Genomic DNA, 14239 nt, shown 5'->3' on the forward strand with positions numbered 1-14239 from the left:
AGCTTGTAATTCTTATGAATGCTAATAGCTACATGAGCTCAAAACTTAAAAATATTTATAAAATGATTTTAGTTCCAACTTATATCAGTTTTGTATTTACTGTGGTCAAGGAAAAATTGAGGTATAGTGAAATTATTTGGTAAAGTTAAATAAAAGTTGTGTATATTTTAAGTTGGATTAAACTTAGATTATATATGAAATTGCAATAATGGAGCAGAACCACATTTAAAATATTTGTAGTTTTGTTTGAACATTTTAAAGAAACCTTTGAGTGCAGAAGAATACTTGAGGAAAAATACATATATTAAATAACCCCCAACTTGATTATTATTTGTGTTACCTCTCTTGTAAACTTAAAAATCAAATTATCAGGATTTAGAATTTTCTATTATATAAAAATTTTTTCCTCAGTTTTGAAGCTTTCTGTTGATTTTGGGTGTTCTAAGTTGCTTTTTTTTTAAAAAAGAATTTCTGTTGGTAAATAGTAGGTTTACATATTTATGGGGTACATGAGATATTTTGATAGAGCCATACAATGCATTATAATCACATCAGGGTAAATGGGTTATCCATCACCTCAAGCGTTTCTTTATGCTTTGTGTTACAAACAGTACACTTATACTCTTAGTTATTTTAAAATGTACGATAAATTATTGTAGTCAACCTGTTGTGCTATCAAATACTAGATCTTATTCATTCTAACTATATTTTTGTACCCGTTAACCATTCCCCCCTCCCTCCCCCCCCACCTTTATTGCTTTTTAAAGGAAGGGAGAATGGTTTTTTTGTTAAATAGAAAGGTATGCTTATTTTATTGTCTTTTTTTAAATGACTCATCCATTTATTTCCCTATTATAGCATTTTCTTTTGTAGCTTAATACATGGGTGACTAGATACAGCTTTACCTAGCAAAAGAAATAATGTTCCTCGTTTTCTTGATTATCAGTGATCTCACACTGTAAAATTATATTTTTTTGCAGTATCCCTTTTACTATTCAGCGACTATGTGAATTGTTAACAGATCCAAGGAGAAACTATACAGGAACAGACAAATTTCTCAGAGGAGTAGAAAAGGTATTTATTTTATTATTGGAATTATATTATGCTGTGGTGTAATAGCTTTTATTTTAGAAAAGAACATTGAGTAAGATCTGTTTCGGGTACCACTTCTTGAAATATGTTTTTCAGCCTACCTTGAGTTTCCCAAATTGTTTTCCAAATTGCATTCTGTTTTACAGAGAGATTTAATAGGACCGGGTAGAGGAGGGTTTGTGTGTTGGTCATTGAAGTTTGGTGAAAGCAGCTTATTATTTCTTGGAAATTCATAGTGTATATCAACTTATTAAAGGTTCTGTGAAGTTATAATTGCTATTTTAACTTTATAGAGTGTTTTATAAACTTACACATGGAATTCATTTTCTCAATTCTGGAGTTCAAAGGTACATAACTTTGGAAACTTACTGGTGCCAAGCATGTAAATGAGGTATTGAGTAGAAAGATGCAGGTCAGATTTAGAGATAAACATTAGTGTTTGTGTGTGGAGGGGGTTGAGGGAGTGTTAGAATAAGGGAAGGGTATTCTGAATAAAGGAAATGGTGTGGGCTGGGTGTGGTGGCTCATGCCTGTAATTCCAGCACTTTGGGAGGCTGAGGTGGGTGGATCACGGTCAGGAGTTCGAGACCAGGCTGGCCAACATGGTGAAACCCTGTCTCTGCAAAAAATACAAAAACTAGCCGGGCGTGGTGGTGCACGCCTGTAATCCTAGCTACCCAGGAGGCTGAGGCAGGAGAATTGCTAGAACCTGGGAGACGGAGGTTGCAGAGAGCTGAGATGGCACCATTGCACTCCAGCCTGGGCAACAAAGTGAGACTCTGTCTCAGAAAAAAAAAAAAAAAAGGAAATGGTGTGAAGAACAAAGATTCAAGGTGTTTAAGGGAATGAAAAGTAAGAAATTGACTTGTCTTGAGTGAAAAATGAAGGAAGCCCTGTGAGAACCAAGATTGGACTAATGAGTTCTAATTTTCAGTTGATGGTTGGTCCGGAAACACTCCCCTGTTCATTTAAGGATCTGGTTCAAATCCACTTTATTTTACCCTGGGAACAGGAATCAAAAACCATTACATAGTGATTTACAGTAGTTTTTGTGGCCATACTGGATTAATATATTTTGTTGATCCTCTGTACACTCAATTGAATAATATCCCCAAAGGCCAGGAAACTGAGATGGCTCATCAGTACTTACTTTTCAGCTCCAGGAGTTGTAATAATTACATTTTGGAGATTTTCAGATAAAGTAGCAATATGTTACAGTAGTCATACCAGGTGCCCTGCCTTTAAATCAGGGTTGCAGTGTTTCATAGTTGTGTGACCTTGGGCCAGTTAGTTTTCTCCTCTGTAAAATGTGGTTAATAATAGGGCTGGGAGGGGGATTAAATGCAAAACACTTACTGTGACTCATACTAAACTTTCAGTGAACACTGAATATTAGTAAAGTTATTTTTACTGGGAAGATCATAAATATATTACAAAAAAGGTTTGAGTCTCTTTCTGTGGGATATATGATGCAACACAACAAGCCGTGGATTGGGTGTTGCTTTGTAAGGAAAATCAATTACATATGTCTTAAGTACTTCAATCTCTCAACATCTTTGTTGATTCCATCTGAGCTTAGTTACTCTACTACGTATAGTGTATGATGTTACGGGTCTAGAATAACTAGATTAGGGTAAAAAATAAGTATAGGAAAAAAAAAATTAGTGGCTGAGTAGGATATTCTCTTTTGGTCCTTTGTTATTGTTTTAGTTTTTGCTGTTTCACCAGTTTTCATTTTTAACCATTTTCCTTTACTAGCAAAATTAGAATCAATGGGAATTTAACCCACCAGAGTGATTTTAGAAACAAAAATGATGAAACTTTATGTTGTAGTACTTTTCTTCATACTAAATCACTGATTTTTGTTATTGCAGAATGTGATGGTTGTTAGCTGTGTTTATCCTTCTTCAGAGTAAGTATATTTTTTCTATTTCTAGTATATTATTTACTATATTTAATCATTTTATTGCTTCTAATATATTATTCTTAAAATAGACTGAATTTATTTAATATGTAATTAAGTGTGATAACATACTTGTGAACCTACCATTCAGTCCCCAAAGTAGAATATTACTAATAACATTATCTATATGTTTTTTCCATTAAAGAGATTTGGATTAAAGAGATTGGTGATTTACTGTAATTTTAATATTGTTGGATTTACATACTGTGGTGGCACTCATTGCCCTGAGATGCCATTCTAGATGCCTTTCCAGGGTGTCTCTAGGGCATAATTCCCATGTTTGGAATAACTACTTGATGGCTTTTCTCTTTATGATGGAAAATATTTCCAGTTGTCAAGATTTAGATATAGCAAAGTAAGAATTAAATTTGGATACAATTTCTCAACCTTGGAACTATGGACATTTTGTACCAGATAATTCTGTTGTGAGTGGGTGTCCTGGGGATTATAAGAGGTTTAGCACTGTCCTTGACCTCTACCCACTTATGCCAGTAGTGTTCCCCTCTCCAAATATCTTTAGACATTGCCAAATGTCTCTTGGAGATGTGAAAGGCAGGGAGGGGAGGTTGTCCCCTGCTGAGAACCATTGGTTTAAGGTTAATCTGGCTCTGCTTTCATAGACTACTCTGTTACCCAGGCTGGAGTGCGGTGATGAGTGATCATAGCTCACTGCAGCCTTAAACTCTAGTGATCCTCCCGCCTTGGCCTTCCAAAGTGCTGAGATTACAGATGTGAACCACCACACCCAGCCCAGTCAATTTGTTTTTAGAATGTTCCCAAGAATATAGTTATGTTGCTAAATAAGATACTAAAATAATCCCATACTATATTTCTTGACAGAAAAACTATTAAAATGTATACATGATAAAAATTTCTTTTATGAAGCAAAATATGTTTTGTTTTGCTCATGAACGTGAGGTATTTTGGAAAAATGGTAAAGAAGTGCAGAGTCAAGTCATAGCGACTAATAATGGGTTATTTTCTTAAATTGTATGCTTATGTTAATTCTCACAGTCTTTTTGTTTGGGTCTGTGACAGATCTTACAAAAGATCTTTTAGACCTATGATTCTTAACAAAATTAAAGAATTAAGTCGGAACCAATTTTCCACAATGTCTCATCTAAGAAAGGACTCACAGCCCAGCAGCCCAGGAGATGACGCAATGGACAGGAGTGGGCTCCCTGACCTTCAAGGAAGATTTGAGCTATCTGGGAAAAACAGACAGTATCCACTGGATGCATTGGAACCCCAACCCAGCATTGGGGATATTAAGGACATTAAAAAAGCAGCCAAGTCTATGCTAGACCCAGCACATAAATCTCATTTCCACCCTGTGACCCCAAGTTTAGTATTCTTGTGTTTCATATTTGATGGGTTACACCAGGCATTACTGAGTGTTGGTGTGAGCAAGAGGTCTAATACTGTGGTTGGGAATGAGAACGAGGAAAGGGGTACTCCTTATGCTAGCAGATTCAAAGATATGCCTAACTTTATTGCCCTTGAGAAGTCATCAGTTCTCCGCCACTGCTGTGACCTTTTGATAGGCATTGCGGCTGGATCAAGTGATAAGATTTGCACCAGCAGTCTCCAAGTTCAGAGACGATTCAAGGCAATGATGGCATCTATTGGAAGACTTTCACATGGTGAGAGTGCTGATCTGCTAATCAGCTGCAATGCAGAATCAGCCATAGGTTGGATCAGCTCAAGACCATGGGTTGGAGAATTAATGTTCACACTTCTATTTGGAGACTTTGAATCCCCTCTACACAAGCTACGCAAGTCAAGTTAGTTGCCAAGAAAGCACAGATGACAACCTATTAATGCTGTGAGAATGTTTCTAGATCAGTGCATGGATGGCTCCATTGCTCTACGGGCCATTGTGTCTGAGATCCCAGTCTTTGAGGAGAAAAAAAACAATGGTTAAAAAGGCATTGGGGAAATATTTTGAGTTTGGGGGTGTACTTTGCCACCCCATTATTGGGGAGCTGTCACCACGAATGTTCCCAAACTTAGCAACAGCGGCAAACTACTGGGCCAAGATGAGCAACCCCACATTTTTGGGATTTAAAGCTCCTGATGTTATACCAGGATCAACCATCACACTCCCTTTGCTTCAAATGGCATCTACCCCGTAAGATCTTGAGGGGGGAGTGTTGGGTGGAATCATAGATCCATGCACTCCTAACATGAACTAATTCTCATTATTTAAAAAAAAAAAAAAAAAAAAAAGTCCAGGTGTGGTGGCTTAACGCCTGTAATCCCAGCACTTTGGGAGGCCGAGGTGGGCCGATCACTTGAGGTCATGAGTTTGAGGCTAGCCTGGCCAACATGGCAAAACCCCGTCTCTACTAAAAATAAAAAAAATAGCTGCGCATGGCATCACACGTCTGTCATCCCAGCTACTTGGGAGGCTGAGGCATAAGAATTGCTTGAACCTGGGAAGTGGAGGTTGCAGTGAGCTGAGATTGCACCACTGCACTCCATTCCACCTTGGGTGACAGAGCCAGACTCCATCTAAAAAAAAATTAAGTCATCCACAAGTGTATTTTCTTTTCTTATAGGAAAAACAATTCCAATAGTTTAAATCGAATGAATGGTGTTATGTTTCCTGGAAATTCACCAAGCTATACTGAGAGGTGAGATTCTAGATTTTTAATACCTACAGAGTTTGCATTGTCCTGATTTTGAGTAGCAGGCTTAGTGTACTTTTTAAAAATTGGGCATTTTATGGACACCATAGGATGAACTACATAGAATTAGTTAATTTGGTAAGGCATGGGCCTGAAAACAAAGTTGCAGCAAATACTTCTGTGATGTATTCACATCAACATACCTTAAGAGGGATGACTTTTTATAAAAATAGGAAATGATGTTCATTTATCTTATTATAGGTCTAATATAAATGGGCCTGGGACACCCAGGCCACTTAATCGACCAAAGGTTTCTTTGTCAGCCCCCATGACAACAAATGGGTTGCCTGAGAGCACAGACAGCAAAGAGGCAAATTTGCAGCAAAATGAGGAGAAAAATCACAGGTTTGTATGTTTTATATTTAAAAACAGTGTTTTTATTAAAAGTTAAAGTTAACATTTAATCAGTACTTATCACTTACTATTTATAAGTTCTGAGGGACAGAACAAGGTTTTCATGCGGTTTATAGGAGCACTGGCTTCTCTTTGCAGCTGTAGCAAATGTTGAAGGTGGACATAGACAAGACTTAAAACTGCTAATTTGTGGAGACTGTTTATGTAGGGTCTAAAAGTAACGTAGATATGATGATCCATTTCATTTGTTGTTTCTGAAAGTTACTTGAAAAGAAATGATCTTTATAAATAAGTTGATTTTTGTGAGTCGTTTCTCATTGTAGTTCATAAAAGGACACCTTTTGTTTATATCTTCAAATTTTCTGTATCACATTAAGGGAAGGAAGACTAAATGAGGGAGAGGACTTAAGAGAGTATGTCCGTATGGAAGACTTGCGGGTTTATTGTAGGAGAATATTTAACTTACTGGAGAATTGCACAGAAAGGTCATATAGCTTTTCTGAGTCCTACTGGGAATTATTCATCAAACAGTTTAGTTTACCTTGAAATTATTCTCTTGTGTTTTTCTTTGTTCAGGTGTTATAATTTAACTTTGACACTGAAATACAATTTAAAACATTATTTAACCTTAAAAATGGGGATGTAGAAGATGGGGAAAATAATCTTATTAATGACACTTTAAAAAAACATTTACAGTGACTCTTCGACCTCTGAATCAGAAGTTTCCTCAGTGAGCCCTTTGAAAAATAAACATCCAGATGAAGATGCTGTGGAAGCTGAGGGGCATGAGGTAAAAAGACTCAGGTTTGACAAAGAAGGTGAAGTCAGAGAAACAGCCAGTCAAACGACTTCCAGCGAAATTTCTTCAGTTATGGTAGGAGAAACAGAAGCATCATCTTCATCTCAGGATAAAGACAAAGATAGCCGTTGTACCCGGCAGCACTGTACAGAAGAGGATGAAGAAGAGGATGAAGAGGAAGAAGAAGGTATTTAGAGACCATCTGTAAAAGGGTGGAGTAAGGAGATCCTCAAATTCTTGTACTTCATTTTTTTCGTGAAAGAATTTTACGTAATGGAACTCCTTATAATGCTGATGTTGGGCTTTTCTCCCACCTGTATGTAGTTGCTGCTGAATTTCAGGGGATGTGATTTGAACTATAGAATATCAGAATTCATGAAACTTAACTGTGGAGGTATTTTGAAAATACAATTTAACTACAACAACATTTGCTTATTTTTAGAGTCTTTTATGACATCAAGAGAAATGATCCCAGAAAGAAAAAATCAAGAAAAAGAATCTGATGATGCCTTAACTGTGAATGAAGAGACTTCTGAGGAAAATAATCAAATGGAGGAATCTGATGTGTCTCAAGCTGAGAAAGATTTGCTACATTCTGAAGGTAGTGAAAACGAAGGCCCTGTAAGTAGTAGTTCTTCTGACTGCCGTGAAACAGAAGAATTAGTAGGATCCAATTCCAGTAAAACTGGAGAGATTCTTTCAGAATCATCCATGGAAAATGATGACGAAGCCACAGAAGTCACCGATGAACCAATGGAACAAGACTAACTATTTAGAAACATTTAGATGCAGTATTTTACATACAGTTCTGGTTTTAACACTGTATAAAACTTTTGTGTAATAAAATGGACCTTTAGTTTTACAAGAGAAGCAGGTTGTAAAATAAAGTACTTTATGGATAATTCCTGAAAGAGTTGTACATGTAAGAACTGTGAATATCAGCTCCTCTGGGTCCTGCTTACCTTACCGCTGACTTTTCTTTCTTTCTTTTTTTGGTCTGGGCAAATCAGTGGTTTGTGTATAGATTTTTTTTTTTTTTTAATTTAGGATTGAAGTTTTTAAACTGGAAAGTAATTACAATTTTGAAAAGTTTTTTGAGATTATCACATTTAGTTTATACATATGCAAGAAGCTTTTTGTCTTGTCTCTTTCTGATAGCTCTAGCAGTTTTCATATTTTGGTCATAGTTTCAACATTTTAACATGTGAATTATAGGGTTTCATGCTGGTTTCCAGATTTTATTGTTTGGCTACGTACAATGGAACTTTAAGTCATATATACATACATATATATATATATATATATATAATTCTAAGGGGGGAAATGTTATATTTTTCTGTTTCTATAAGAGATGAATACAGTGGATACTTTTTCTATTGGTAATGATTGAGTTCACCTCTTTCAGAAGACATTTTCTTTCTCTTCTGAGTAATTGAAATAAAATCTGGCCCTTGTGAAACCCTGGAAATCTTAAGTCTGTTGAAATACCAGGTTAAACACATTCCAAGAGATCTGTTCAAACTCAAATTCTTTTGTATACTTCTGAGGTGCCTGAGAAAAAGACTTCATTATTTATGAGAAAATATGCTTTATCTTGGAAATTGTGTTCAAATGTTAGCTTACTATTTTGTAGAATGAATGTTTATGAAGCTGATATGAGACCATCTCAGAAGAACCAAGTAGGTTCCTTGACCTTTTGCTTGCTTTTCTGAACATTGTGAATATTACACATGTCTTTCTAAATTATTCTAGGGTATGCAAATGTCAATGGTATGAAACACCACTGTACTGGAAGAATTAATATATTACTTTAGTATGTACCTGAGCTAAATGACTGAAGCTTTAGGGGTGCATAGAAACCACCATAATTTGTATGACATTTTGAAGTGAATTAAATATTTTTGAACATGCTTCTTCGACAGCCAGTGTTATATTTTTCAGATCAACACAAAGCACAATGATTACTCGAAATTCAGTATTTTCAAATTTACATATTTAAAGTCATGCAAGCTGTAACTTCCCTGTCAAAATTACTGGCTGCCAAATTTATACCTGTTTCTTCAGCTGTACCTTTTGATATTTAAAGTTTTTAAATTTCTGTAAAGTAGATTTTGTAGAATGTAATGTGTTCACTGCCTTTGTGAAGCGGTATATAATTGTATAATTTCTGTGTGTAAACTGAATGCTTGGGCTTTCAATACAGTATTCATATAAAGCAATAAATATTAATGTTATGAAATATTTGACTACATTTTTATCAAAATATGAAAGAATCCCCCCTTTTTTAGTTTCAGATACCTGAACTACACAGATGAGCTTCTAAAACTGATGCAAACAGTTTCTGACACTGTATAATATGCTTTTGGGTGATTTGGGGGGCAACCACAAGTTTTGCGTTTTGACTACTTAAATCATCATGGCTATAAATACCAAAACGATTTGGATCCATTTATGTTTGTAGGATAATATACTACTGACTGACTTGACTGTCAGGTTCACAACAGCTAGATGATATATTTATGACTATGTCTAATAGTTGAAATAAAATCTGAATATTGATTTACTATACCCAAGAGGGGAGAAAAATTAACCATTGTAAATTTTTAAAAAATTTTTCAAAAATGTTAAAATGAGGCAAATTTAAGTTTACAAATTTTGAAATTTTCTTTTGAATATTTATGAAATTGTCAGTAAACTTACCTAAGATCCTGTGACCTTTTGATATTTTTTATTTTAATTGTAGTGCCATGGACCATTTGTAAACAAATTGATTTACTTTTGTTGGTTGTAAGTTGAAGATTTAGCATTATGACTTTGAGGTCTGTGGTTTTATTTGTAAACTTGCAATTGCTATATTTGCAAGGGCAAATGTATTTCTTTATTAAATAAAGTACAATAATGGTGAATGTACCAAAATGACATCACTTAACTCTATGAGAGATCTGCATTTTAATCTATAGTTTAATAGTTTTAATATTTATTAGATATTCATATGTTGATCATAGATCAAACTTGTTGCTGTTTATACAGATAATTGTAGAATGCTCATGGAATATCTTTAGGGTAGGTGGAATACTTCTGTAGTTAAATTGGGAAACCTTGTTCAGCTGGTTTTAGATATTGATGGCCATTTGGAAGTAAATTTCCGCAGGTATTCATAGGTGCACTTAACACAGACTTTGCTTAATGAAAATGTCAGTTCTAATAGTAACTGATTCACTTCTGAACAGAAGTGATTTTAGGCATATTTCTTAACATATATCAAGCAAAGTCCTGTTAAAAGATCTAAATGAAGAATGGAGACCTCAGTGATTAAAGATATTTTGTTTCTGACCTTGAGCAGATTGCTTACCTGTTCTCTAGACTATAACCCAACATGTAAAAAAAATTTGAAGATGGTGATGAGGAAAGTGAGATATATATATATATATGTATTATGTTTCTAGCACTTTTCCCTTTTAAAAAGTGAAAATATCCTTGTACATTTTTGAAAAATATATTTTCAGTTCTGAAAAATGTAGCAGAAGTAGTGAAAATGTCATATTTTAAATGTTGATTATTAGATAAATTTAACCTGCTTAGGGTTTATTGTAACTACACCTTTCAGACGTGTGTTTTGGAGTAGTGGAATTGCCAGCCAGGCCCTGTGGCTTGGAAAGGCATCCCAGAAATCCTCGGCCAGAAGGTGTGGCTTGTTAAAGCATTGAGATTCAGAGTATTTTGTTTTGCCGGTGTAGATAGGCATGTATTTATGCATTTTTGCATTTGTAAAATCAACTTTTCAAATAATGTAAATGTAATATACTAGTTTACTTAAAGGTACTTGGGCAGAATCTAAAGCTGCTACAATGTTTGATTATGAAAAAAATGTAACATGGTAAGGATGAAAATGCAACTTACAAAACCAAAGGAATTAAAAATTTTCGGTAGTGTTTCAAATTGTCTTCTGAACAGGAATTTAACATTGGTTTTGATGAAGGTGAGGGTCAGTTCTCAAGATTTGTGCTAATCATAAAATGAATGAATGCAAAACACCTTGTAATTTCATATGGAATTATAAAAATTAGGTTTGCTGGGTTTTGGCCTAATAAGAGTGCTAGTATGTATTGGTTAGACTACATCTTACTATTTCACATTTTAAAAATCAGTACACTCTTCAGGATTTTCTTTTATTTCAACTTGGAGCCTAGATTACTTTGCCAAATGTATTATTTTCATAATGCAATAAAATATAAATTAGAATATTTCTATGTGTGTAATTATTTTATGTGCCATAATGGTTTATTTGCCCTGCTGCCACTCCGACTCCCCCCCAACCCCCCCAACCCCCCCCGACCCTGCGCCACCACCCACCTCAAATCCTTAACTGAGGAAACTCAATGTGTGACTTTGTTACAGCCCTGTTTCTTACATGGTGACAAAGTGTTCCAGCAGGACTTGACAGTTGTGGTTCTTTGCCAGGCAAGTCATGCTGATTGTCAACAAAATCCAGATTTAAATAAGTCTCCACTGGTATAATTTGGCACTAGCTTACATGTATATATTTACAATATTTGTGTTAATCATTTTAAAGGCTGGGCGCAGTGGCTCACGCCTGTAATCCCAGCACTTGAGGCCAAGGCAGGTAGATCTCTTGAGGCCAGAAGTTCGAGACCAGCCTGGCCAACATGATGAAACCCCGTCTCTACTAAAAATAACAAAAATTAGCCAGGTGTGGTGGTGGGCACCTGTAATCCCGGCTACTCAGGAGGCTGAGGCAGGAGAATTGCTTGAACCTGGGAGGCAGAGGTTGCAGTGAGCCGAGATCACACCACTGCACTCCAGCCTGGGCGACAGATCGAGAGTCCGTCTTTAAAAATAAAAAAAATCATTTTTGAAATCCCACCTTCAGGCAACTACATGGTAAGAAGTGTAGAATTACCTGAAGTGGAGAGGAGGGTTCTGTTTTCAACTGTGGGTCTCCTTTCCTATGCTTCTTTTTGTTTTTGTTTTTGGGACGGAATCTTCCTCCGTTGCCCAGGCTGGAGTGCAGTGGTATGATCTCGGTCTCGGCTCACTGGAACCTCTGCCTCCCGGGTTCAAACAATTCTCCTGCCTCAGCCTCCTGAGTAGCTAGGACTACAGGCATGCACCACCATGCCCGTCTCATTTTTGTATATATATGTTTTTCGTAGAGATGGGGTTTCACAGTGTTGGCCAGGGTGGTCTTGAACTCCTGACATCAGGTGATCTGCCCGCCTCAGCCTCCCACAGTGCTGGGATTACAGACATGAGCCACCATGACTGGCCCTCTAGGCATATTATCGCACAGTAGCTACAGTAGAGGGTAAGATCTGTGGCTCTGAACTAAGGAGAGTACTAGTCGGTGTGTTTCTAACCTTAAGAATGTCTTAGTTTTCAGCTTCTCATATTTGATCTCTTACCCCCACTTAATTTTGTTTACTAAATAGTATAACTAGTACGTAGTTCAGGGCTAATGATGGGAAGACTGATTTTTCCACTGGCTAGGAATAAACTGCGTGAACTCTTCCCTATTTAAAATGAAGAGTATGCAATTCCCTTTTATTCTTCAGAACGTTTTAAGTTTAAACTTTAGCAGTAGTTTGTCATCTTTAGGTTTTGTTTGTACATTTTCAGAGTTTTTCTTCCCATAACTAAAAGTAATGAATATTCCAAAATGCCAGCAATTCCCTGTATACTAGTCTGCCATCTCCACTGTTTTACTCATCTTTGTAACCTCACAGGCTAGCCCCATGCTTGACAAGTGATAACAAAATTGAAAGCAAGTGGTAGGTCCACAGCCCACTTTAGATTCCTATGTTTTACCGATTCTGTGTCTACTTTGCCCACTTCAAGTGTGCTAAGGTCACCCCTGCAACTTTGCTACTAGGTTTGTGGGATTGGGAGCAGTACATTCTGTTGAATGCCCTTGCCAGGAAATCAGTGGGCAGTTGGATGGTATCACCAGAAAGTGAGCATCTTAACAAAGGAAATTTCCGTGAATGAGACCAGCTACCCCCTGCCTATAGAAAGCACAATAGCACACCCGCCTCTTACAGGGGATAGGTGCTGCTACAGGAGGATATATCATTAAATTACCCAAGTCCTGCTTTAGACATGGTATAATGGGACTTGATATTCAGTAATACTTGCAGCAAGAAATTTTTGCAGTTGAGTAGGCTTGTGAGACTTTTGATGCTGCCTATAATCGCTGAGAATTTGAAAGATAAATATGGGTTCAGTATTCTGTCTTCATTTTGGATGATAACTGTTTTTCTTTGCATTTCATGCAATGCTACAGAGTGGAAGGGTAAGCTTAGTTGGTGACTAACAATTCCCATGTGTATTTAAGAATGCATGCAGTTTCCCACTTTCAACCTGAAAACGTTACTTGATTGGAATTCAGAATACAGTTTCTCATGTAAATTATTTAAAATGTGGCTAACTTTGAGGCTATTATACAAGAAGCTGTTTAGGCCTTAATGTTGAGTGTATTACTGTGGTTAAATGTAGCAATTGTAACATTTCTATTGAAATATGTGGGTCAGTTTCCACTGTGGGTTTGTCGAAAATGCCTCTCCCACAGCTTTGGCAGTGCAAGTAAAGACTGAAGGTGGAAGTGTGTTAAGATCCAGCAGCTCGCCAAATATGTCAGTTATTTTAAAGTCAGGGATTTAGCATAAACTAAATATATCTCAATATTGGGTGATTCAAACTGCAATAGAATTTGCAGTGTCTTGGGATCATTATGATGGTGGTGTTTTGAATATTAGAAGTGTATCCAGATATAGGAGGTAGGGAATATTTTCCAGTATATTTCATAAGTTCCCTCTAAAAAACAACAGCACAGAAAGATTTCCAGGTGTTTTGAGTATTCATTTGGAATTTCATGAAATGATGACTATCAGATTTCACTTATCCCAACAAAGGGAGTTAAGAAGAGGTAGACAAAACATACAGATGGAGAAAAGCATGTCTGTTGTTAGGTAGCAACTTTCATGAATTGTGTATTTGGGGGGCTAAAAAGAGTAGATTTAGTCCAATTTCATATTTGAGGAATTCAATCACCCTGAAGAAAATAAGCAATGCAAGATTTTAACAAATTGGTGTGTGACTTGCATAGGTGCACAGGAGAACCATATTGGTGCAGCTGTGGCAGTCTGGGAAGGCTTCTCAGTTGAGGCAGGTTCTGCTTGGCCTTAGGTGAGCAGGACCATCAGGTAGCATGGTGTAATGGGCAGAGGAGAGTGGCATGGGAGTTGCACGATATGGGTTAAGTCACAACTTCACCATTCCCAGCTGAGGCATTTTGTGTAAGTTACAATATTTCTTTGAGCCTAG

The 14239-nt window shown here is 36.5% G+C and overlaps 2 protein-coding genes across 5 annotated transcripts in view; both read left to right on the forward strand.

Moving 5' to 3' along the window:
- PPP4R2 (protein phosphatase 4 regulatory subunit 2) overlaps positions 1–11142 on the forward strand; it is a 72456-nt gene extending 61314 nt beyond the window's left edge. For 3 of the 4 annotated variants that reach the window (NM_001318026.2, NM_174907.4, NM_001318025.2), the window contains 6 exons: positions 981–1074; positions 2967–3004; positions 5617–5691; positions 5947–6090; positions 6796–7085; positions 7341–11142. In NM_001318026.2, coding sequence (NP_001304955.1) covers positions 981–1074; positions 2967–3004; positions 5617–5691; positions 5947–6090; positions 6796–7085; positions 7341–7666 — 967 coding nt within the window. In that variant the 3' untranslated portion in view covers positions 7667–11142. The remainder of the gene's footprint in view (positions 1–980; positions 1075–2966; positions 3005–5616; positions 5692–5946; positions 6091–6795; positions 7086–7340) is intronic. The other variant, NM_001318027.2, reaches the window with a different exon arrangement.
- EBLN2 (endogenous Bornavirus like nucleoprotein 2) lies at positions 3603–5281 on the forward strand. Its single transcript, NM_018029.4, has one exon. It carries the CDS (start codon positions 4026–4028, stop codon positions 4842–4844), a length of 819 nt encoding a protein of 272 aa, NP_060499.3. The 5' UTR covers positions 3603–4025; the 3' UTR covers positions 4845–5281.
- Positions 11143–14239: the final 3097 nt, after the last annotated feature.

This window comes from Homo sapiens, chromosome 3 (genome assembly GCF_000001405.40).
Source record: "Homo sapiens chromosome 3, GRCh38.p14 Primary Assembly".
Classification (NCBI taxonomy): Eukaryota; Metazoa; Chordata; class Mammalia; order Primates; family Hominidae; genus Homo; species Homo sapiens.

Excerpts from the sequence above, each read along its gene's own strand:
- EBLN2 (NM_018029.4), top strand. The coding sequence starts at position 4,026 with ATGGGTTATTTTCTTAAATTGTATGCTTATGTTAATTCTCACAGTCTT.